The sequence below is a fragment of the Homo sapiens genome, chromosome 17 (genome assembly GCF_000001405.40).
Source record: "Homo sapiens chromosome 17, GRCh38.p14 Primary Assembly".
Classification (NCBI taxonomy): domain Eukaryota; kingdom Metazoa; phylum Chordata; class Mammalia; order Primates; family Hominidae; genus Homo; species Homo sapiens.
The window spans coordinates 47,047,789-47,072,059 of record NC_000017.11 but is presented as its reverse complement, the minus strand read 5'-3'; the positions used below and the strand labels follow the sequence as shown (position 1 = coordinate 47,072,059).

At 45.9% G+C, this 24,271-nt stretch overlaps 1 protein-coding gene, 1 long non-coding RNA gene and 1 pseudogene across 44 annotated transcripts in view, besides 3 other annotated features; 1 reads left to right on the top strand and 2 right to left on the bottom strand.

Annotated features, from left to right (window-relative positions):
- Positions 1-24,271, top strand: part of LOC101927060 (uncharacterized) — a 117,500-nt gene that overhangs the window by 28,226 nt on the left and 65,003 nt on the right. For 19 of the 43 annotated variants that reach the window (XR_007065810.1, XR_007065809.1, XR_007065803.1 and 16 more), the window contains exons 3-5: positions 410-4,646; positions 15,307-15,600; positions 17,847-17,942. This is a non-coding gene — a long non-coding RNA (uncharacterized LOC101927060). Of the gene's footprint in view, positions 1-409; positions 4,647-11,912; positions 12,009-15,306; positions 24,173-24,271 lie in introns of those variants that run through there. The other 24 variants (XR_001753104.3, XR_007065794.1, XR_007065800.1 and 21 more) reach the window with 8 other exon arrangements.
- Positions 2,910-3,409: an enhancer, noted in NCBI's record as "H3K27ac hESC enhancer chr17:45146017-45146516 (GRCh37/hg19 assembly coordinates)". NCBI's record gives its function as "activates a minimal SCP1, AML or CMV promoter by ChIP-STARR-seq in primed H9 embryonic stem cells {active_cell/tissue: H9 hESC(primed)}" and the evidence as "EXISTENCE:reporter gene assay evidence [ECO:0000049][PMID:30033119]".
- Positions 3,410-3,911: an enhancer, noted in NCBI's record as "H3K27ac hESC enhancer chr17:45145515-45146016 (GRCh37/hg19 assembly coordinates)". NCBI's record gives its function as "activates a minimal SCP1, AML or CMV promoter by ChIP-STARR-seq in primed H9 embryonic stem cells {active_cell/tissue: H9 hESC(primed)}" and the evidence as "EXISTENCE:reporter gene assay evidence [ECO:0000049][PMID:30033119]".
- Positions 10,150-10,350: a silencer, noted in NCBI's record as "peak2870 fragment used in MPRA reporter construct". NCBI's record gives its function as "represses an SCP1 promoter by STARR-seq MPRAs in K562 erythroleukemia cells {active_cell/tissue: K562}" and the evidence as "EXISTENCE:reporter gene assay evidence [ECO:0000049][PMID:32103011]".
- Positions 17,648-24,271, bottom strand: part of LRRC37A17P (leucine rich repeat containing 37 member A17, pseudogene) — a 37,223-nt pseudogene continuing 30,599 nt past the window's right edge.
- LRRC37A2 (leucine rich repeat containing 37 member A2) overlaps positions 22,932-24,271 on the bottom strand; it is a 676,337-nt gene continuing 674,997 nt past the window's right edge. Inside the window, exon 11 of the mRNA XM_024450773.2 lies at positions 22,932-23,004. Coding sequence (XP_024306541.1) covers positions 22,999-23,004 — 6 coding nt within the window. The 3' untranslated portion in view covers positions 22,932-22,998. The remainder of the gene's footprint in view (positions 23,005-24,271) is intronic.

Below are 24,271 nucleotides of genomic sequence, written 5' to 3'. Positions count from 1 at the left end.
CTCTCAAACAATCACCGCATAAAGAAGTTAACAAAACCGGCCGGGCGCAGTGGCTCACACCTGTGAGCACTTTGGGAGGCTGAGGTGGGCAGATCACGAGACCAGGAGTTCAAGACCAGCCTGACCAACATGGTGAAACCCCGTCTCTACTAAAAATACAAAAATTAGCCGACATGGTGGCGCACCCTGTAGTCCCAGCTACTCAGGAGGCTGAGGCAGGAGAATCGCTTGAAACTGGGAGGTGGAGGTTGCAGTGAGCCAAGATCGTGCCACTACACTCCAGCCTGGGGGACAGAGAGACTCCGTCTCAAAAAAAAAAAAAAAAAAAAAAAGAAGTTAACAAAACCAAGAAAAGTTAAATGGGCTCAGTTCTCTTTACATATATTGCCTAATTTATGTTCCTCCTAAGGACCCTAGGAGTGCTGTTTTATTGTCTCCACCTGACAGATAAGGAAATGGCAGCTGACCCAGGTCAAGGAAGTTCCTGAGGTCCCAGGGCTAATAAGTGGCCTGACTCCACCACCAGCCCCCAGGAGGAAGCCAACCCCAGCCCTAGAAAAACCCAATTCCTGAGTGAGTGCTGTAAACCAAAAATAAAATTCTAAGCTTCCCAACTGCCTGAATGAACCCCCTCTTGGCCAAAGGGATTTTGAAAAAACCTAAAAACTGAGTTCAGGCCATGACAGGAAGTGGGGCGTAGGCCATGACAGGAAGTGGGGCGTGGGCCATGCCTCATCCTAGCCTCTCCCTTTTGGAGCTTAGACACAACTGACCAGCATTAACATTAAAACAGAATCCTAAGACTGACAGAACAGACTCTCAGCAATTAAGATACCAACTCCAACCTGACTGGTCTATCATCACATGGGAGATGACAGATGGTCTCTTATCAGACCCTAAAAAGTGTCAGACTCTTAGTTAAATCTCTCCTAGATCAGGAAAAGGCCTAGAAAGGGAAGGGAGTCTGCAGGATATAAATTTCCCCCACAAGAGATGGCTTTGCAGGGCCATTCCAAAATATGTCAAAGAAACATATGGTTTCTTCATCCCAACTCCCGCATCTTCCCCTGGACCAAATGGCCTCAGGTCTTTGGCTCAAAGAATTTCAGGCAAACTATTACTTCCTCCTCAGAGGTACTCGGAAGCTCCATTTCATCACAGAAGGTCAGAAACCAACATGAAACAGTTCTGCCAATCAGATTTATAGCCCCAACCAGCTGAGACCAGGTCCTACCAATGCTCCTGAAGTCTCAGAGCTATACTTTCTTAAATGTTCCAACATAGTTAGGAAGGAACAGTTCCAGTTGGTTTCCTGCATTATACTGCCTGGCCTTCTCTATATGTCCAATTTCACTTCCTCCAGAGATCAAGGAAGCAAAAAAAGAGAGTGACTTGGATGAGACTTACGTTAAAAGAAGAAAGGGATAACCTGGTTTCACCACTCTCAAAACACTCTACCATCAGTGAACAGCAACCTCTTCTCTTGAGGGACTTCTCAGCCACTCCCTACGGCCTTCTCTCCACTGCCTGAATTGTGTACCTGGCTGTTCAGAGCCACAGCCTGGCTTTAAGCCATCCAACTGCTGTACCAATTGATGAGTCACGTTTTTTCAATTGGAAAAGAATGACAAAGTTACCCTCTGATTCAGAAAGGCAGCTGATCTTTCAGGCATGTGAGTGCTGACTGAGGAAACCGCACCTCTGTCCACCTGAGGAAAGTTGGATTTCTGTGATGGGTGGGGTGGTGGGGGTTGGAGCTTTGAAGTAATTAAATACCAGATGAAGGGTGAGAAACTTCTAGCTTGTGATTCCCAGACTCAGGGCTAGTGGATGAGGGCAGAATCTTCTCTATATTCTTGTCCCATATCCCAGAGGATTCTAACAAGGACCAAACTCTGAATGAAAACAGGACCATTGCCTGACCCATTCACCAGTGTTTGGCACACACTGGTGCTCAAAAAATAAGCTGTTGAATGAATTGATTAATAAAATAAAAATGAGGCACGGGGCAGGTATCTCCATTTCACACACTGTGGGAAGTTGGGGTATATAACTCTGAAGTGTTAAGATGACTGTGGAGCTCCTTCCATTAAGTCAAGCTGCCAATAAGGCTGAAACCAACTTAAATATACTAATGGGAGGACATTGAAGGTAAACAGCATTCATTTTTTCAACGGAATAAGACTATAAATGGCAAGCAGAGACAAGGTTCTTTGGGGCCCTTTAAAACTGTGGTCAAATGGCCCACCCATCTGATGCCAGGTCCTCAGGATTCAGAGAACATGTGTACCAAAAAGCCCCCAGGAAACTAAATGCTAGCATGGGACTTGGGTGCCTCTGGAATGTCCTTCTGCCTCAGCTACTCTGAGATAACATGGTTCCCTGTGTTCATGGAACCCAGATGGCCAAAAGTCAATGATCCAGCACTTATAAGAAAAGAAAGCCATTCAAGAGCCTCTGTACCCACCTAGGCCTCAGCCTCCCCAGGACCTACTCACCTATACTCTTCACAACAGGTAACATTGCCTCTGGCACCCATCACATCCCCTGAATTTGGCATCAGGATTGATCTGCCATCAGCTCTGGCAGGGAGAGGCCCTTACAAATGCCAGGAAAAGAAACATGAACAATATTCTGTGACCACAGCCAACACCACACAGAACTTCCCAGAGGCTCTCCAGGGCAAGAACACCAACCAGAAGGAAGGGGCAGCTTCCATCATTCTGTGCTAAGTGAGCTGAGTGAGTGGCCATCTCTCACCTTCCAGATATTTGAATGATACCTACCATTCCAGCAGCCAGCACAAGTCATTTAATATGAATGCCAGAAACACAATCCCTGAGGACAGGTGCAGGAGACCAGATGCCAGGAAAAACCCCGGCTGACCCAAGAGTTGGGGAGAGCCCACTGCTCCTCCACCCTTATTTACCACCTGAGCCCCTGCACCCACCAATCATGCTGCTCAGTCTCTAACTGTGGGTCTGAGTGAGCACCTACATTTGGCTGTTGAGGGGCAGCTGGTGGAAGGAGACTCTGCACTAAGTTCTCAGGTTGAATGGGAGTGGGGTCGAGGGAAGCAATGGACGCAGAGTTGGGGTAAAGACATGCGGTGGTGTCAGCGGGGGTGAAAGGACACGGAGATGTCATTTTTTAACAAGATTGGGTGAGGGTGGTAGGAAAGGAGGCAGTAAGAGTTCAGGACAGTTTAGCAAAGACTTAGGGATGGGGTGTCCTCAGGACGGCAGGAGACGGAAAAGAAGGTATACAGTGGCTAGGAGACTAAGGATGAGAAGACACTGTTAAGACTTGGAATAAGGCTGAGATCGGAGTTATCCAGAAGAAAGCGGTGAGCTCAACAGGGCACCAACTTCCTGGGGCTGGACTACGGCTGCGCAAATCCCACCCAGCCCAAAAAAGTAAGTGTGAGGAGAGAAGGGAAAAACTAAAAAGGAAAATCAGAAAAAAACAAAAGAGATGGACGGCAGTGCGTGCGCAGGGGCAGTACCCATGCCGTTGCCCGGCCTGCCAGCTGCAGGAGCAGGAGAACTCGGGAATGAGGAAGAAACCAGGAAATGACAGAAAGAAAAAAAAAAAAGAACGCAAATAGAGAAATGGAAAAAATAAGAAAGATTGGAAAAAACAGAAATTTTGAAAAAAGGATAATACTAAAAAAATAAATAGTATAAAAGGAAGGCAAAATGTTAAGGCATGTCAAAAATTATCTGTAAAAGTCATAAAAAATGCTATAAAAAGAATTTATGCAAAACATATTATATAATTTAAAACTAATTTGGCCTCCTAAATGTAAAACTATTAAGTTTATGTGCAAGGTGTATAAGGAAAATAAAATACACTTTTAATAAAAGGATTATAAAGAGGCATAAAAATTTGAATTCTTACCTACATTAAAAGGTCAAAAAAATTTGTTTTAAAAGTTTAAGCAAGTTTTAAAATGTTAATTATAAAAAAAATTCTGTGTATAAACATATCGGCTAAAGTTAAAGGGGTATCATCCAGTTTTTCTATGAACTGAACATAAAAATAAAAGCACAATAGGTTTTTCTTAAAGCACTAACCTGCTCTTTAACAAAAATTATAAAGGGTTAAAAAGAATCTATAAAAATCTTACCTTATAGTCAAACGTTAAAATTAAATAATATCTACAAGGTTTTATTAAAATGTAGTTTAACATTAATAGTACACTAATATAAAGGTAAAATTTAACTTATCTCTTATAAAATCATACAGGAAACATTATCAAACATAAAATGATGTTTGACTTTCTTTATTCTAAAAACTAATAAAAATAGGTGCTAAAAATTTTCCAAATGAAAATAAATATTGCTAAACCAAAGAGAAATGTTATCTAAGCCCCGTATAAAAAATAAATAAATCTTGTTCCAATTGCATCAAAAAACCCATTAAGGGCCCTCCAGCACAGGGTTAATACCAACGAGTTTCCACCTCCAGCTGCTCCTAGAGTGGCCACAGCATGAGCCATCTGGTGGGGGACCTAGCCGCCAACAGACACTTCCTGTACAGGGGAGGGGGGAGGGGGCCAGGCAGCCGTTAGACAGCACAACCGAACCCAACACCGGGGCCCAACGGCAGGGGCTTGGGCAGGAGCAAGGTCCGAGGGCTGCCAGGTAAGTCACAGGGCCACTCATCCCTAAGGCCACAACGCAAGGGAGCAATAAAGGCCACAGGGAGGCCAAGACCTTAAGGGGAGCCAGGCCGCCGCGTCCCCTAGGCAGCGCTCAGCGGGGAAGGAGTTGGAGGTGTCACTATGGGGCCTCAAGCCCCAAGATGTACAAAGTTCTAAGAAAAAACCCCAAAGTTTCCTTCAAAAGCAACATAAGAAAAAGTTAAAAAAAAAAAAACTTAAGAAGGCACTAAGGACTTATAGACCAAAAAATACCTATAGTTTGCCTTACTTACATTCTACTGCTAATGTCCCCACATTTAAAACAAAAAATCAGTTTCTCAAAAATTATATACTTATTTTCCACTTTCCCTTCCCTCAAAACTAAAAGCCTTTTAGCACAGGTACCACCCCTAACATTTCCAGTACACCAGCACCAGCTTGAAAACCACGTCCTTATCGAAAGATGTAAAAAAAAGAAAAATGCAAGCCAGCCTAGGAAGAAACCTACCTTAAGCTGCTGACCACCAAGACTGCCATTCGCACAGCAAAAAAATAAATTAACACGTCGTACCCAAGTCGAGAAAATGTCATCACCATAAAAGTCATAGGCCATTGCTCCAGGGTCAAGCCCTACCAAATTAAAACTAAAAAAACTTTATCTATCTTTTCTCTCCTTCAACTACTTCCCATCTTATTAATGTAACTAAATCTAACTCACCTCAAATTATTACTTTTAATGCCTGTTTAGTTATCACTCCTCTCTTACCAAATAACAAAACCAAAGTCTCTATAGTAAAAGTAAAAAACCTAAGGCAAACAACAAGACATCAAAATATAAATGCCTGGCTAAAATAAATGAAATATTCCGTTCACTCTTTAAACAAAAACAACTGTTACACTTGTGCGCACGGTGAACCAGAGGTCCAGGTTATCCACTTTCCACTCAAATAGTCTTCTAATCAACAAGACATAGACGACATGGTATCTCCTTTTCAAAATCCTACAGCCTAGGATAGTAAACTGTACCAAACTCTCTCTGCTATTTCCTGAAGTGCAGTAGTACCCTGCGGGTCTGCTCCCAAGAGCCATCCAGCCTCCCATCTTCCAAGGCGAAGTTTGCCTCGTGTCTCTCACCACAAGGGGAGAACTTAGCATTCCTTGAAGATTTAACAAAATGCAGTGAGGTCAGGCACTTCCAAGAGCTGACCCATCAGTCCGCCCTTATTCATCCCCAAGCAAATATATAATGGTATTATGGAGGGCCTTTACTGAACGCTGTGCCAAATAATTAGAACAATACTTATGCTCTAATTCAGTTGGCTATCCCTTTTACCCTAATATTTCATCAATCAAAAAATAAATAAACAGATAGAAGAAGCCACAAAAGAAGCAGCAGACCCTTATGGATCTTTTAATTCCCATGTCTATTTAAATGCAACTAAAATTCCTCGTGAAATACCAAATACATTTAAAGCCAAAAATCAAATAGTTGCAAGTCAGTGTTTTAGTGGGTAATAATTAATAAAAGTATAGGTTAAACTACATTTATTACAACCAGCAACGACTTGTTAACTATACCAAAAATGCTATTAAAAAAATAGCTAAACAAAAGCCACTAATCAAATAGCCTAGAAGAATAAGATAGCTTCAAATATAATATTAGCAAAGAAAGGTGGTATTTTCATTATAATCAAAACTCAGTGTTACACCTTTATCCCAAACAACACTGCTCCCACTGGGAGCATAACAAAAGCCCTCCAGGAACTTACTACCTTATCAAATAAGTTAGCAAAAAATTCCAGCATTAACAACCCTATTTCAAATTCATTCAAGAAGTAGTTCTGCCAATGGCCGGGAACTTAAACAGAAACTGATAAACACAACTCTTATTAAAATATCCCCAGCCCCTCCTCCACCCTATTGAGAAAAACTATTCCTTCTAAAAGATCAAACAAAGCAGCTAAACCAAAACATATTAAATAAGTTTAAAAATTATGTAAAAGAGAGAAATTATAAAAAGTAAAAGTTACTCTTCAGAGTTTCCCTTATTGAAAAATCGTAAGTGTTAAAAATAATAATTTCTTTTAAAAACTTTCTTCAAGCCCCCTTGTTTTATGCTAATAACTGTTTTGTTAGGCCCTATCCTATGTAGCTGTTAAACATGGTCACAGGCATGTAGTACATTCTATGTCCGTATACTTTAACCAAAATATCTGTACTGGACGTGCTCGCAGGCATGTCCCAGCTCACAGCCTATGCCCCTTTTTTATTTCGGAATGTTATTACTTTTCTAAGTCCTTTTGTAAACTACTTCCTCTTTTCCCTTGTCTTTCCATTACTTTTACCTGTTTTAAAAAGTTTTAAACTGTTACCCAATCAAGTTTTAGTTTAAATTTTAAGATCTGGCTCCAGCCAACGGAGACACAATACAATTACAAGGACAAACTACGTAAAGAATAAAAATTGCATCCCTCCTTTATTTAGATATGCTCTCGCCATTGTTCCATCTATGATGAGCACCCTTTCTGCAGAAAGTAAAAATGGCCTTACTAAGAAAATTAAATTTATATTCTAGTGCTATTTCTTTCTTTCTTTCTTTTTCTTTTTTTGGAGATGGAGTCTCGCTCTGTCAACCAGACTGAAGTGCAATGGCATGGTATCGCCTCACTGTAACCTCTGCCTTCTGGGTTCAAGCAATTCTCCTGCCTCAGCCTCCTGAGTAGCTGGGACTACAGGCACACGCCACCACGCTTGGCTAACTTTTGTATTTTTAGTAGAGATGGGGTTTCACCATATTGGCCAGGATGGTCTCAATCTCCTGACATCGTGATCCACCCACCTTGGCCTCCGAAAGTGCTGGGATTGTAGGCATGAGCCACCACACCTGGCCTTCAAGTGCTATTTCTTTGCAGTACCAGGGGACAAGCATTCTCTTTCTAAATAAACATTTTACATATAACAGCTGCTTCCCAAAGAGTGCCTCATGATCTTTCCTTTTCTTTCAGTGCCATCGGCCATTATCATGCCCTCGTTCTCTGCCAGTGCTCTGGAAGAGCGGGTGGGGCCCATGCCCACAGTGCCCTCTCCGAGTTCTGTCCTCCATGTGGTCAAGTTACCCCCTAAGCCTGTCACACGCAGTCATCCTGGAACTTTGCTTAACTGCTTCCTGGGTTGGGGCCTTTATTTCCAGCCTGGGCAACATGGTGAAAACCCGTCTCTACAAAAAATTAAAATATTAGCCAGGTGTGGTTGCACACACCTGTAATTCCAGCTACTCGGGAGGCTGAGGCAGGAGAATCGCTTGAACCTGGGAGGCAGAGGTTGCAGTGAGCCGTGATCATGCCACTGCAATCCAGTCTGGGCGACAGAGTGAGACCCCCTCTCAAAAAAAAAAAAAAAAAAAGTTGTATCTTTAATATCCATTAATTGAAAAACAACAACAACAAAAGGCCCAAAAATTACCATGAGGACACACGTGCTTTTAAATGAATTTGTGTGTTATTTACCACAGTAACATCTATGAACTTGTGAAAAACTGTTACTGGTTTAGGCTTAAGGGTTTGCCCAGTCTATCTTCAATCTTAAATGGGTGGGCGCAGTGGCTCACACTTTGGGAGGCCAAGGCAGGAAGATTGCTTAGTCCAGGAGTTGGAGACCAGCCTGGGCAACATGATGAAACCCCCATCTCCTCAAAAAGTTCAAAAATTAGCCGTGCGCGGTCACGCGCGCTTATAGTCCCAGCTGTTGGAGGGCGTTTGGAGGGTGGGTGGCGCTGAGGCGGGAGGATCACTTGAGGCCAGGAGGTCAAGGCTGCAGTGAGCCGAGGCTGAGCCACTGCACTCCAGCCTGGGTGGCACAGCAAAATTCTGTCAAAAACCAAAACCAAATCCAGCCAAACTAACAAAAACCAGAGTTGGGTGCAGTGGCTCACATCTGTAATCTCAACAACTTCGGAAGGCTCAGGCAGGAGGATAGCTTGAGGCCAGGAGTTCAAGACCAGCCTGGGCAACATCATGAGACCCTTGTCTCTGAAAAAATTAAATATTAATAAATAAAAATGAACACCAGTAGCTTCAGTCTTTGGTTCTGCATCCCTCATTTCATCCCCTTGTCTTCTGGTAATAGAATTTCCTTCTTGTTTTTCTTTTGGGATGAGCCACCTTCGCTCCCTGGGATTCCTCTGGGATTGAGTTACCGCCTCAAGCGATCCTCCCACCTCAGCCTCCCAAGTCGCTAAGACCACAGGTGCATGCCACTATGCCTGGCTAATGTTTTGTATTTTCTGTAGAGCCGGCGTTTTGCCCTGTTGCCCAGGAGTTTTTCCTTTAATGTTCTCCTGCTACTTACTAATTTGCTTTGTCACCCTCTGAGCTCATAAGAGCAGAGAGATAGCAACAGGACCTAAGTAGCTCTAAGCTGTGAAAAAATATTAAATATGAAATCATGGTAGCTATTAGCTTAATTTGTTTTAGGCAAATTGCAAAGTAATTTTTTGGGAACCACTGTCCCACTGCAGTGATTCCATATGGGGATTCCTAATTTCCAGTTTGTTTTTAAAATAATTTGTGAACACCTAATACAAACACATGATATGAAATTCAAGAGGTACAAAAGGACATACAGCCCTGCACCCTCCCAATTTCCCTCCCCGAAGGCAACCACCATTACCAGTTTCTCGTGTGTGCTTCCAGAAGTATTCTGTGCCAGTTTTGTCCAACAGAACTTCAATGATGAAAACAGTCACCCGTGCTGCCCAGTTTGGTAGCCATTAGCCACATGGGGCAGTTGAGCACTTGATATGTGGCTAGTGTGTCTTAGGAGCTAACTTTAAAAAAAGTTTTTTTTTTTTTTTTAAGACACAGGTCTTGCTCTGTTTACCAGGCTGGAGTGCAGAGGTGTGAACATGGCCTCAAACTCCTATTTATTTATTTTTTGAGACAGGGCCTCACTCTGTTGTCCAGGCTGGAGTGTAGTGGTGCAGTCATGGCTCACTACAACCTTGACCTCCTGGGTTCAAGAAATCCTCCCACCTCAGCCTCCTAAGTTGCTGGGACTACAGATGCATGCCACCATGTTTGGCTGATTTTTACATTTTTAAATTTTTTGGCCAAGTGCGGTGGCTCACACCTGTAATCTCAGCACTTTGGGAGGCTGAGGCGGGCAGATCACCTGAGGTCAGGAGTTCAAGACCAGCCTGGCCAACGTGGTGAAACCCTGTCTCTACCAAAAATACAAAAATTAGCTGGGTATGGTGGTGCACACCTGTAGTCCCAGCTACTAGGGAGGCTGAGGCATGAGAATCGCTTGAGCCCAGGAGGCAGAGGTTGTAAGAAGCTGAGACTGTGCCACTGTACTCCAGCCTGGGTGACAGTGAGACCCGTGTCAAAAAATAAATAAATTAAAAATAAATAAAATTTTTGTAGAAAACAGGTTTCACTATGTTGCACAGGCTGGTCTCGAACTATTGGCCTCAAGCTATCTTCCCACCTTTGCCTCCCAAAGTGCTGGGATTACAGGCATGAGCCACCAGGCCCAAACTAAATTTATTTGTAAATAGCCATATGTGGCTAGTGGCTACTGTATCAGACCTCACAGTTCTGTACAGATAATGCACAGCGCACAGTAGCATACTATACACGCCCCACTAAATCTTGCTTTGTTCCCTTAACAGCACCTATGCATCTTGGAGATAGATTGTCCCAGTCTGCCTCATTTTTAAGAACTGCTGCATAATATCCTCTTATAATCCACGAAGGCAATCCCAGACCCAGCCTGGAGAGCCATGGGTCATCACTTTTTACAACAAGCTCTAAAATCTTCCACATATACCATAATCAAGGCACTTCAGAACAATCCTAGGTTCCTGATTCCTCCACTGAAGTCCCCATGGCATCTCTGCTCCCTCCCTGCTCTCTCTGCAGTACCGCAGAGTGAACATAAAAGGGTTTAATATAGGCTTCACCGGGCGCGGGGACTCCCGCCTGTAATCCCAGTACCCTGAGAGACCAAGGCGGGAGGATCACTTAAGGCCAGGAGTTCAAAACCAGCCTGGGCAACAAAGCCTGTCTCTGCAAAACAAAAAAATGAATAAGAGGTCCCTTTTTCTGTGAGATTGATGTAGGGGAGCGGGCCTGTGAGTTAGAAGGGAAGCATTGAGGATCAGCCATTTAAAGCAGCATCCAAGGATGTTCAAGGCTAGAGACCCACAGGTGTATTTTCAGAAACTGAATTGCCTGGCGGCGTTCAGTGGCTCACGCCTGTAATCCCAGCACCTTGGGAGGCCAAGGTGAGCGCGGATCACTTGAGGTCAGGAGTTCAAGAGCAGCCTGGCCAACACGGTGAAACTCTGTTTTATAAAAAAAACTGTAAAAATTAGCCAGGCGTGGTGGTGGGTGCCGGTAATCCCAGCTATTCGGGAGGCAGAGGTTGCAGTGAGCCAAGATCACACTACTGCACTGCAGCCTGGGCGACATAGTGAGACTGTCTCATTAAAAAAAAAAAAAAAAAAAAACCAAGCTGGGCGCAGTGGCTAACACCTGTAATCCCGTAATCCCAGCCCTTTGGGAGGCCGGGGCAGGTGGATCACCTGAGGTCAGGAGTTCGAGACCAGCCTGGCCGACATGGTGAAACCCCATCTCTACTAAAAATGCAAAAATTAGCTGGGTGTGGTGGTGTATGCCTATAATCCCAGCTACTAGGGAAACTGAGGCAGGAGAATTGCTTGAACCCAGGAGTCAGAGGATGCAGTGAGCTGAGATTGTGCCATTGCATTCCAGACTGGGCAACAAGAGCGAAACTCCATCTCAAAAGAAAAAGAAATAAAAAACCCAAACAAACAAAACCCCTGAATTTCCCTGTGGACACCTTTTCTCTGGCAGCCTTTTTCACTGAGGGCTATGTTTTCTCCAATACTATATGGCCTGCAGACCGCTCAGCTTTCATTCCAGTGAAAACATTCCAGAACAAACTCCAGGTCAATCCCAGGTCTTTCTCCAATCAGCTCAGGATGATGGTGTGTCACCTGCTGCCCAGCTAGAGTGACACCTCTCCAGGCCTCTGACTTAGCTAGGTCTCCACCATGTGACTCCACCGTAGACTCCACGCCGCCTTCTTTTGCAAAGCCTCAAATACCCAAACGCCTACCAAAAGTGGGTAGGGCGCCAGGACACCTCCAAGTATAAGTGGGGCTCTCCAGCACGCCTGGACGTGGAGGTGTGATGCAGAGTGGTGGCTGCTCGTGACACTCATTTCACCCCTTTCTGTGCAGGTGCCAGAAGCCCAGGAAGCACACATCAAGGCTCACTTGCCAGCAGGGTGCTGCCAATAAAATGTAGTCACGTGGAATTTGGAATGTGGAAAGGAGGTAGAAGTCATCCTTTCCTTCCCCATAGCAGCAGGCGTGCAGGCTCTGGTGGTCAGCTGGACTCCATACTCCCCCACCAGTCACCAGCCTGGGGACGGTGGGGCTGCAAGGACCTCAGCAGCGGTTTCCCAAGTTTCCTGCCTTCTTCCATCCTCTGGAAATCAGCTGTGTAGCCTGAAAGCCAGTGGTGCAACCCCGTCCCCACAACCTTCACCACCTCTAGCCCCTCCAGTGATAAGCACTAATTGCCTATATACAACCCCTTTTGTTTGAAATATCTAGAGTAATTTCTGTTTTCCTATCTGGGGTAGTGTAACATAAGAAGAAATATATATTTGGTCTCTGCCCACAGTTCCTAACACAAAGCTCCTAAAACCCTTGGAAATTCCTGAATGATGGGGGTGCTAGGAGCATTGTCTTCTTTTTGTAAAAAATGTATCATTTTTCTTTTCTCGAGTGGTTTTTTTCTTTTAGGAAACAAACTTTTATTTTAGGTTAGGGGATACATGTGCACGTTCGTAATATAGGTACACTTGTGTCATGGCGGTTTGTTGTACAGATTATTTCATCACCCAGGTACGAAGCCTAGTACCCAGTAGTTTTTTCTGCTCCTCTCCCTCCTCCCACCCTCCACTCTCAGGCCCAGTGTCTGTTGTTTATGAGTTCTCATCATTTAGTTCCCACTTATAAGTAAAAACATACAGTATTTGGTTTTCTGTTCCTGTCTTAGTTTGCTGAGGATAATGGCCTCTAGCTCCATCCGTGTTCCTGCAAAAGACATGATCTCGCTGTTTTTTATGGTTGCACATCTTTTGTTCTAACGTTTGGTCTTTGACCCTGGTTCCTGACACAGAGCTCCTAAATCCCTTGGAATTTTCTGGGTGATAGGAGTGTCCTTTGTTCTCATGAGGTGACTCTTGGTGGGCTCCTTATTTGGAGACTGGTCATCAAAAAACCTCACTATGGGTGGAAGCGTTGTGCTGTCAGCCCCATTCCCCATCCTCTGGGGTAGGAAATGGAGCTGGAGCTCAATCATACCTACGTGATAAAGCCTCCAGAAAACTCCTTGAAAGACAGGACTTGGAGAGCTTCCGGGTTGGCGAACACATCCATGTTCCAGGAGAGTGGTGCACCCCAACTCCACAAGGACCCTTCCAGACCTCACCCTGTGTATCTTTTCATCTGGCTGTTCATTTGTGTCCTTTAAAGTATCGTTTGTAATAAATCAGCAATAGTAAGAAAACTGTTTTCCTGGGTTCCATGAGCTGTTCTAGCAAATGTTCAAACCTGAGGAGGGAGTTTTGGGGACCTCCAATTTATAGCCAGTTGGTCAGATGCATAGGTGATGCTTGGCCTTGCACCTGGGGTCTGACGTGGGGGTGGTCCGATGTGACTGAGCCCTTAACCTGTGGAGTCTGGTGGTCACTCTGCTTAGGGCTTCTATGCCTTTGTAGTGTCCTTCTAGAAGCCCTTTCCTTCCTCTTGTCAGCTCAGAAAACTTTTCTTCCACTTCCCTTCTTCTAAGCCATCCCTTACGTCTCCTTTCCAGCCGACCAAGAGCAGAACCACGGCTGGCTCCACTGCCACCATGCTGTCCCACACTGTCTCCTCAGGATGTATTCAGATATCCAGCCCTCCCCCCAGTCTAGGAGCCCTTTGAGGAAAGGGATGCTGGCCTAGTCAACTCTTTCCCAGCACCAGGCACAGCATCTGGCACGTTCCATCTTTTTCATGGACTCTCCCCAGGCGGCCTGACCTTCCCTCCTCTGAACCAGTGCATTTCTTGTCTGCATCATGTTTGCCCTAATCAGATATCGGCTTATTTCCATCTTTTAAAAAATGCTTTATTTCTCTGGCAGGCTTCGTTGGAATCACAATTTTCATTCATTTAGTAACTGTTGGCCTCGTATCCACCTCTCTCTGGCACTCAGGTCTCACTTAAGAGCTGGCTGTCTGAACTGTGATTTGCGATCAGTGAGATGGAGACAGAGGCAGCCCTAGGCAGTCATGTTTTGTTCCACATGACCCCGGGTGCCCCTCCCCCCCCCCGGCTACAGGCAGGCATGGGCACCAGCCTGGGAGAGACAGCTTATCCATAGTCTGGCCCAGCAGAAACTCTGGGCTTAGACAAAACTGCTCAATTGAGGACAAACTAGGCAAAGTAGAATCTTACTTTGGGAGTTTTTAGAAATATGGTGGGGTAGTGAGAGGTGACAGCATGCTGGCAGTCCTCAGAGCCCTCGCTTGCTCTCGGCACCTCCTCTGCCTGGGCTCCCTCTTTGGCGGCACGTGAGGAGCCCTTCAGCCCACCACTGCACTGTGGGAGCCCCTTTCTGGGCTGGCCAAGGCTGGAGCCCACTCCCTCAGCTTGAAGGGAGGTGTGGAGGGAGAGGCGCGAGCGGGAACCGGGACTGCGTGCGGTGCTTGCAGGCCAGCTGGAGTTCCGGGTGGGCGTGGGCTTGGCGGGCCCCGCACTCGGAGCAGCCGGCCGGCCCTGCCGGCCCCAGGCAGTCAGGGGCTTAGCACCCGGGCCAGTGGCTGCGGAAAGTGTACTGGGTCCCCCAGCAGTGCCGGCCCACTGGCGCTATGCTCGATTTCTCACCGGGCCTTAGCTGCCTTCCCGTGGGGCAGGGCTCGGGACGTGCAGTGCGCCATGCCTGAGCCTCCCACCCCCTCCATGGGCTCCTGTGCGGCCCGAGCCTCCCCGATGAGCGCCACCCCCTGCTTCACGGGGCAGTCCCATCGACTGCCCAAGGGCTGAGGAGTGTGAGCGCATGGTGCAGGACTGGCAGGCAGCTCCACCTGCCGCCCCAGTGCGGGATCCACTGGGTGAAGCCAGCTGGGCTCCTGAGTCTGGTGGGGCCTTGGAGGACCTTTGTCTAGCTCAGGGATTGTAAATACACCAGTCGGCACTCTGTATCTAGCTCAAGGTTTGTAAGCACACCAATCAGCACCCTGTGTTTAGCTCAAGGTTTGTGAATGCACCAATTGACACTCTGTATCTAGCTGCTCTGGTGGGGCCTTGGAGAACCTGTGTGTCGAAACTCTGTATCTAACTAATCTGATGGGGACGTGGAGAACCTTTGTATCTAGCTCAGGGATTGTAAATGCACCAATCAGCACCCTGTCAAAACAGGCCACTTGGCTCTACCAATCAGCAGGATGTGGGTGGGGCCAGATAAGAATAAAAGCAGGCTGCGCGAGCCAGCATTGGCAACCCGCTCGGGTCCCCTTCCACACTGTGGAAGCTTTGTTCTTTTGCTCTTTGCAATAAATCTTGCTACTGCTCACTCTTTAGGTCCACGCTGCTTTTATGAGCTGTAACACTCACCGCGAAGATCTGCAGCTTCACTCCTGAGCCCAGCGAGACCACGAGCCCACCGGGAGGAACAAACAACTCCAGACGCGCTGCCTTAAGAGCTGTAACACTTGCCGTGAAGGTCTGCAGCTTCACTCCTGAGCCAGCGAGACCACGAACCCACCAGAAGGAAGAAACTCCGAACACATCTCAACATCAGAACGGACAGACTCCAGACGCACCACCTTAAGAGCTGTAACACTCACCGCGAGGTTCCGCGGCTTCATTCTTGAAGTCAGTAAGACCAAGAACCCACCAATTCCGGACACAGTAGCATTTGGGAATAATAAGAATTGTAGCTGGGCATGGTGGTACACGCCTGTAGACCCCTAGCAGCTGCCATCATCCTCACCATCCGCATATTATTGATATATTAACTCTTTGATGGCAACCATAGCTTATCCCCCTTATCTCCCTATGCCCTACAGCAGGGCAGTGGAATGGTTAAGAGGCTTTGAAGTCTAAGAGTGCTGGCTTAAAACCCTAATTTGTCATTTTGGATGTGTGGCTTTGGACACTTGGGGCAGGTCACCTATGTTCTTCAAGCCCTGTATCCTTATCTGTCAGATGATGATTTTTTTTTTTTTAGACGAAGTCTCACTCTCTTGCCCGGGCTGGAGTGCAGTGGCATGATCTCGGCTTACTGCAAGCTCCACCTCCCGGGTTGACGCCATTCTCCTGCCTCAGCTTCCTGAGTAGCTGGGACTACAGGCTCCTGCCACCACCCGTGGCTAATTTTTTTGTATTTTTAGTAGAGACAGGGTTTCACCATGTTAGCCAGGATGGTCTCGATCTCCTGACCTCGTGATCTGCCCGCCCCAGCCTCCCAAAGTATCAGATGATTTTAACAACTATGCTTCCATGACTTGCTGGGCTAGATGATATGACTGTAAAATGCCTAACCCATGGTTTAGCATCAAGTAAGCAAATTGTAAATGGTAGCACTGCTCTGCCTATGACTATTTAGTCTTGTGCTTTAAACTCAAATATTTGTTGGCCTACTGAAGTCACCACACAGAGAAAGATGCTTTTCATTCTCAGTAAAGAACTTTGGGAGATAACTGGGGCAGGCAGCAAGAGAACAGATGTCATATGTCTAGCATCAGCAAACTCATCAGAACTGATGGGCAGCTCACTTTGCTTAGAACCTGCACCAGCATACACACGGGGCTGCTTCCCAGTCACACTGCTCCTGGGAAGGTAGGGGGGCTGCTGTTCTGCAATTAGCGCGGTTCTTTACCTCCTATTACCGAACTGCCAGAGTTCATTTGTGTTCAGTTAGGTAGATGACCAATTCTTGTTCATTCCTATTTTCTTTTGCTCACTAATGTGTTTAACGTTCACTAACCTACCAAATGTGATTTATTAGCGACTTTTTCTTTGAAGATGGAGTGGAGGAATCCTAGCGCTTTCTGCAACATGCTACTGCTGTTATGGAACAGTGCAGATATGGAAGTGCATCAGCCGGGGATGGGGAGAGGCTAGGGCAGTACATGTGAATGGAGAGGTAGCCCCACCAGTGTGTTTTCTGAAATACAGTCCCGCAGAGGGCAGTCTTGGGAAATTACTGTTCTCACACACTCTTCTTGACCCTACCCCTCCAGCACCTCCCTTGCTATCCAAGGGTTGGGATTTTTAAAAAGAAAAACAAATTTTAAAAAAAGCAGTGTGAATCTTTTGCCATCTTGTAAGGGTGAAAAGCCCCCTACCAAGTCGGGATGAACATTCATGCGTGTGCTTGAGGGCTTGGGAAAAAGACAGGGCTTGGCCCCACAGTGCAGGTAGGCCCAGTGATCCTATAATAGGGGCCAGGAGATGGGAGGTCCCCTGTGGGCAGGAGTTCAAGTATGTGGTATTATATGACTGGTGCTTGATGAACCCAGGGAGAGGGCACCAAAAACAATGGTATTTAATTGTAAAATCTCCACCCCCTGAGGATATGTTTTCAGGTCTGGGTGACTAATTAGACTGGGAAACAAGGGCAGGAACGATGGCCCTGTGCTTGCTCTGCCCGCTGCCTCTGTGGATGTGTGGGCTGCTGGCTTCAGTCCTGCTTTTCTTTCTGATGGTATTGTTTATGCTATGTGTTTTTGCAGGAGGCCTGAGGTGGGCTGGGTTCTCCTCCTATGGCAGGGCTTCACTCTCCTCCTCCTTCTCTGTTGGGGCTTCACTGTCCCTGGGATAAGAATAACAATGCCAAGGTTTTCATTCTTGAAAGGAGCAATTAAGCGTCTCACCCCCTCCTCATTTTAGATGGGAACTGTGAGGGTCCCGTCATTTACCCAGGGTCCCTGTTGAGGATCTTGTCCTCATTAGATGACTTCTTGTGCAGCTTCCATGCGTGATTCTTTACTCTTGTGGCACTGAGAGGTTTGTACATGTCTTTAAGCCAGAGCGGCTTTCTGAATGAAAAAAGTCCATCCTAGAAGATAGAAAGGGAAATATTAATTTTGCATGTCCTCTGCTTTCCCTGGTCACAGCAATGAATCCTCCAATGTACCTGACTCTCCCTTTGCGAAGAGCATCTCCGTGGCAGAAATCTGAAAATGCCCCTGGGGAGACACATGCACAAGACAGTGAGTGATGCAGCCGTTTCCCACGTATCTCACAATGTACTTCTCTGGTCTTATTAGAACTAAATGAGTATCTCAGTCCATAATCACAGGGAGAAGAACCACCACAGACCACATACCTGGGGTCTTGAAAATAATTCCATGCATGTGGGACTTTCAGAAGCTCTCCATGTCTGTCCAGAAGGGCCCCACAATATACTGGGGGGACTTTGTATGTGGCTCAGCATGGAGCAGGGGCAGGATGTTCATTCCCACTCATCCCCTTGGCCAAGTGCCCTTGTGCAGTGAACAAACTGCACAACCATGCTGGGCAGAAGCATTTTATATCAGTCCCCTTCGGACTTAGTCTCACAGGCATCATTTGATGGGGGGTGGGAGATGAAGTGGTTCTTCCTTTTCTAGATACTTTATTCTATAAGTTGGATCACCTCAAGCAAATGCCTGAGTGCAGCTAGCCAAGTTCTCTATCTCACAGTCTTCATACAGCTGGCTGTCGCTGATGAGTGAGTGAGCTGCGAAATCAGCTTAAACCACAACATGTTATTTTTGAATTTGAATAAAATAGGAAAAGGCAGAGTGCATTGTGTGACCATGGGGTAAGACACTCTCCCTTTCTCCTTCTCAGTTTTCCTGTCATAAAAGGACAAACTACTATCTAAGTTCTCCGTAGTTAAAATTCTTTTTTGTTGTTTTTTTTTATTTGAGACAGTTTGGCTCGTTCCCCAGGCTGGAGTGCAATGGTGCTATCTTGGCTCCCTGCAACCTGCGCCTCCTGGTTTCAAGCAGTTCTCCTGCCTCAGCCTCCCAAATAGCTGGGATTACATGCCTGTGCCACCACACCCAGCTAATTTAGTATTTTTAGTAGAGATGGGGTTTCACCATGTTGGTCAGGTTGGTCACGAGCTCCTAACCTCAAGTGATCCCAAAGTGCTGTGATTACAGGCGTGAGCCATCCTGCCTGGCCTTTCTGGTTAAAATTCTGTGAGGTTTGTGTAAAAGGAATAGAGTGGGGGCGCAAAAACCAGTAAGATGAGAAAATAGTGTTTCCTCAGTTCTAGTATCCAGGGGAAAAAAAGAAAAGAGAAAATACTGTTTCCTGCCACTTAAGAGGAAGGACTCACATATCCTACCTTCCATCAGCCTTGAAGGAGACAAGTGCCCTCTCTCTCACACCCGGTGGCCTTCCCTTCCCCTTTCCCAGAGCCTCCAAGAAGGCCCCTGGCCTGGCCTGATGCCCACCATCAGCAGCAATAGGCACCAAAACCTTTCTCCTTCCTATCCCTCCCCACCTCCCAAAAGGGCTGGGGACAGCAGGTGTATCCTTGTTAGTTCCATCATGAGACAGCACATTCCTACAATGTCGTACAGATGTAAATTCTCAAATTAATCTACAAATTTAACGTAATCCTATTCAAATCCCAAGATAGTTTTTGGTGGTGGCTGTTTTTAAGACAGGGCCTCGCTGTGTTGCCCAGGCTAGAGTGCAGTGGTACGACCACAGCTCACTGCATCCTCGACCTCCCAGGCTCAAGCGATCCTCCCACTTCAGCCTCTGAAGTCTCTCATATGGTGTCCAAGAAATGGTGACAAATCTCACAAAGGGACTAGGCTCAGCACGGCTGGAATATTCAGGGAAGGTGTCAAGAAGAAAGATGAACTTGTGTTGGCTTTTGAGAGATGCATAGGACTCCCACAGGCAGAGTGAAATAAGGGCATTTTAGATGGACAAACACACAGACAGAAGCAGAAATGTGGGTGGTGTGACTGGGGTATAGTGAGGGGCTGCTGTGGCTGGAATGGAGGGCTGCCACAATAATGGAAATGGTAAATGAGGCAAATAAGGTTGGACTGGTGGCATAGCGTCAAGGTTGCCAGCTTTATTAAATCACTCTTCCAATATGCTAGCACTGGCCTGTTGGGAAAAGTAATATATCATGTAATCGAACAAAAGACAAACAGAGGCAAGCTCCAGGAATGGGCACTGTAAACAGGACTTGCCCCAGAGTAGCCAGATGTAGGCTTTAGATAAGTTGATGCAGGCTGAGCATCTCTAATCTGAGGGGGAATGTCTCACATGGTGTCCAAGAAATGGTGACACATCTCACAGAGGGTCTAGGCTCAGGAGGGCTAGAGTATGAGACGTTCCCCCTCGCCTGTGAACTTAAAAATGTGGCCAACAATTTTTGTAAAAGATGGCTACTCTGTAGTGCTTTAACTGGACCTATTTAGACAATGCCTTACACACTGGAGGACGATACTGTGTAAATCTAATAAGTCTACAAGACAATACTTCTGTCTTTTGGCTCTCTCCTTCCTCTCCAGGGTGATGACAAATCCGTGAGGGTGGAGATTATACCTCTCTCATCATTTCAGCACCAAGGAAATAAATTAGTGGCAGAGTAAGGGTGACTTGATGAGTACATCCAATTGTTGACATAGTTTTGGGTGGAGAAATTTTGCTATTATATCGACTTCTTAAAATAGTCTAGTGGGATTAACTTGGTTTCAATTCACAGAGATCTGGAAGCGAGGATCTTTTAAAAATCCTGAAATATACACTGCAATAAAAGAACAAAGCATACACCTCAGCCTTAAATGACTGAAGAAGTATGTCAAGTAGCAGCAGGTGGGAAAGTGGCTTTGGTTTTCAGTTTGTGAGCTCTGAATCCACACAGAAACAGGACTGCATTCTGACAACCTGAATTAATTATTGTCCTTACCACAATGAGGCAGAAAAGTATAATAAAAATCATTAGTATTTCAGTCACAATTAATGCCAAGATGAGTTTGTCAGTATAGCCATATCCTGGAACTTATTTTGTGAGCTAAAAAAAACAAAAAAACAAAACAAAAAAAAACACACCAGAATGAGAGCTAACTATTCAAAACCCCAGTATTCCAGGTGAGTAGCTTACAGGTTCTTTTTTATTTTTTTGAAAGAGGGTCTCACTCTGTTACCCAGGCTGGGGTACAGTGGTGCAATCACCGTTCACTAGACTCGACCTCCCTGGGCTCAGGTGACCCTCCCACCTCAGCCTCCCAAGTAGCTGGGACTACAGGCACGTGTCATCAACCCAGCTAATTTTTTTATTTTTTGTGGAGACAGGCTTTCACTATGTTGGCCAAGCTGGTCTCAAACTCCTGACTTCAAGTAATCCACCCACCTTGGCCTCCCAAAGTGCTGAGATTACAGGCATGAGCTACCACCCCTGGCCTACAGTTCATCTTGTGCCCTAATCTATATTTCACTCTCTACATGAGCAAAGTGGGAGATCACTGTCATGACCAAAGTTACATGGCCAAGATAAGCTATGGCCTGGGAGTCCCAGATTCTTCTGTGTGGGCACTTTCCTGGGATATGCTAAATGATGGGAAATCTGGGTCTCATGTTTCTGTGTGGTCCTCACCTCAAGCGACTTCTCTTTCTGTTCACTCTGGGCTTCCGTGCTCTCATTAATGTAGTTCTGAGTCTTCCATTGGTCCGTATCCCATTCTATCTCAGATGCCTTTACTTCCTGCTGCCCACTGAGAAGCTTCATCAGGTGGCCTGTCCTGGAGATGAGCTTGGCACAGGTCACTTGCACATGGGCCCCAGAGCAGTCCATCTTCAAGGTCCGGATAACATGAGAAATGAGCCTTCTCACATTGTTGGGGATAAGGGACTGTAGCTGCTGGGTTAGCTGAATTTCAAACTGAGCAATGGGTAATTGAAGCTTTTGGGCTCGGGGGACAGGTCAGTGCCCACGTTGTTGTATTCCCATTTTGTCTCAGTTTGTTTAACAGTTGGCCCTAAGTTGAATGCAGTCCCAGCGGAATCTGCCTCAGGAGGATGATTGTAGTTTGTGTTTTCAGAGATGGTGACTTCTGGCATGTTAGTGTTTTCCATAAAAACATTTTCTTCCAAGGCATTTCTTGCAGTTGTGTCTTTTATATTAGTGGTTTCTATAAAATGTTCTGAAGGAGCAGATACTTCCAGAAAAGGGTTTTCTTGAGGACTCAGGTCTCCTAAGGATGAAAAAGCCCCTTGTGAAGGGGAATTTATGAGGCTCTTCGCTGCAGAGAACGGAGGCCTGTTTGCGAGCATCAGTCTACTCAGATAACTTTTCTTTCTGAACTTTGGACTCTTTTTGACCTTGGGTGTTCTGTGGGTCATGCGGGAGCGAGTTTTGTGAAAGCGGTATTTTTTTCTGGAATGTGAAATTGGTTTAGAAGCCTTCATATTTGTAACTCTAGCCTTTGCACTTTCTAAAATGGAAATAGTGTGTGTGTTGTCTTTCCATCTGTCTCTCACCTGTGGTAGGGCTTTTGCAGGGCTGGAGGTAGAAGGCGCGCCCTTGGAGAAGGGTGTCAGCACAGAGACTGCTGCCTTATGCTCTTGGGTGAACGAAGGCTTGGTGTAGATGGCGTTTCCCGCTAACTTCTCAGGCCCCTGCTGTGTGTGAGGCTGTTCCAGCTCCCTTGGGGCTGGACTCCCGAGCCTTTTTTCTTCGGCAGCGTTCTCCACAGATGCCTGGGCACCCTGTTCCCTCCTGATGCTCTGCCTTCCCACCTCTTTGAAGTGCCTTTTCTGGATGCTCCTTGGGCCCATGAGGACTCTATTCACTTTTTGCTGGTTTTGGCCTACAGTTTGAATCTTTGCCAGGCTGTTTCCTGTGGTTGGCAGTTTAATGAACGGTAGTAACATTGATTCCACATCTAGGTTTACTGCTGAGAAATATGGCAAATGTAACTTAGTGCACTGATAACCTCACTCTCGTCATTGGTGTCTAGCTGCTCACTCCCAAAGCCTGACAAGTTGATGCCACTGCTGTCTGAGGGCTCCTCCGGCTCAACAGTCAGCTCAGTGCTTGTGTAATTCTTCCGGGCTTGTAACGTCTTCATGAATGCTCCTTCTGGATTCCCTACAGATTCTTCTTCAGCTGTCAAAAAAGAGACTGCTTTGCTCATGAAAGATGATGGGATGGGATGCATCAGTCCATAGCTGTACACCCCAGTCACACAGAGTAGGAGTCAGCAAACATTTGAGTGCCATTCAGAGAGGAGACACACACACCCAATCCTAAACCTATGAAATGGCAACAACAAAAGGAGAAAATATATCTTTTGAAAACACGGCCATCTACTTGGAACATTCCATAGTGTGACATAGAGTAACTCTGCTTAGGATTATTTCATTGATCCCCAGGGTCCAATTGCCCAGTGCTCAGTCAAAGCCCAAGGTGGAAGACAAGTGCTTCCCTGATGAGCTGATGAGCTGGCCTCTCTGCAGACTGCTCCATACCCTGTGCTGTCCTGCCTCAGATGCAGAGAGAGCACAAGGCTCCCGCTCTCCTCGTCCTCGGTGCGCCTGTGTTCTTGCTACCATCACAGCTGAATGCAATGAAAGGCGGTCCTCTGAGAGGAGCAGGGTGGAGATGCTAAAGTGGAGGCCCCCTCCCATTGCTGATAGATCCTCATCTGGCATGCGCTCCACCCTCCCCATTCTCTGCTCCCACATATCGTAGCCCCATCACAGAAGATGCGACATGGAAAAAAGCACTGTGTCCACCCTAGTTCTTAAATTTGGGCAGGGATTTGGGGTGTATGTTAAGAGTTTTTCAAATTTGCCAGATTGCATGCCTATGTTGTTAAATACACAGTGAATCTCTGGTATGATAACAGTTTCTGGATAAACATTACTTGAGGTCCTAAAATGCAGAAGGGAAAAAGCAACTTTTGTCAGATGCCTACTTTGCTTTCATTTCATCTCTAATATTTTGGATGGGGAATCAGCCAAAGCTTCTGACTGCATGAAGGTCAAGTGTGCCAGTGTGCAGCTGGGTTTCTTTTCCAGAATTAAAAGTATTTTGGGTGGTGGTGAGGGTCAGAGGAAGAAGTAAAGATTGTGAGAAAGTGGAAGAAGCATGGGCTTGGGGAGAACCCAGAATTGGGGCCAGAAGACCTGGCACTAGGCTACAGCACTTAGCACCTCTGATCTTGTTTTTCTTCATCTGTAAAAGGAGGTTAACAAAGCTTTTCTGCCCACTTCTTGGGGAGAAGGGAATAATATAATTGGTAAAAAAAAAAAAAAAAAGTTTTGAAAAATAAGCAACACTGACTTTATGTAACCAAGCATTATTAATTCTCCACCCCATATCACTGGTAGATACCTGTATTCAAGCTATCTGGACATGAAAGTAGTCACATTTTAGAAGTCATGAAGTTGATGCTAATAAACCTAATCTACAGAAACACTCTTGAAAGCCCTTGAGCATTTGTTCTGTGAACAGAAAGGTTTGAGATTCAGAGCAAGTTCAGAGTTGGATGGTCTAAGAATGGAAAAGCCCTCCATT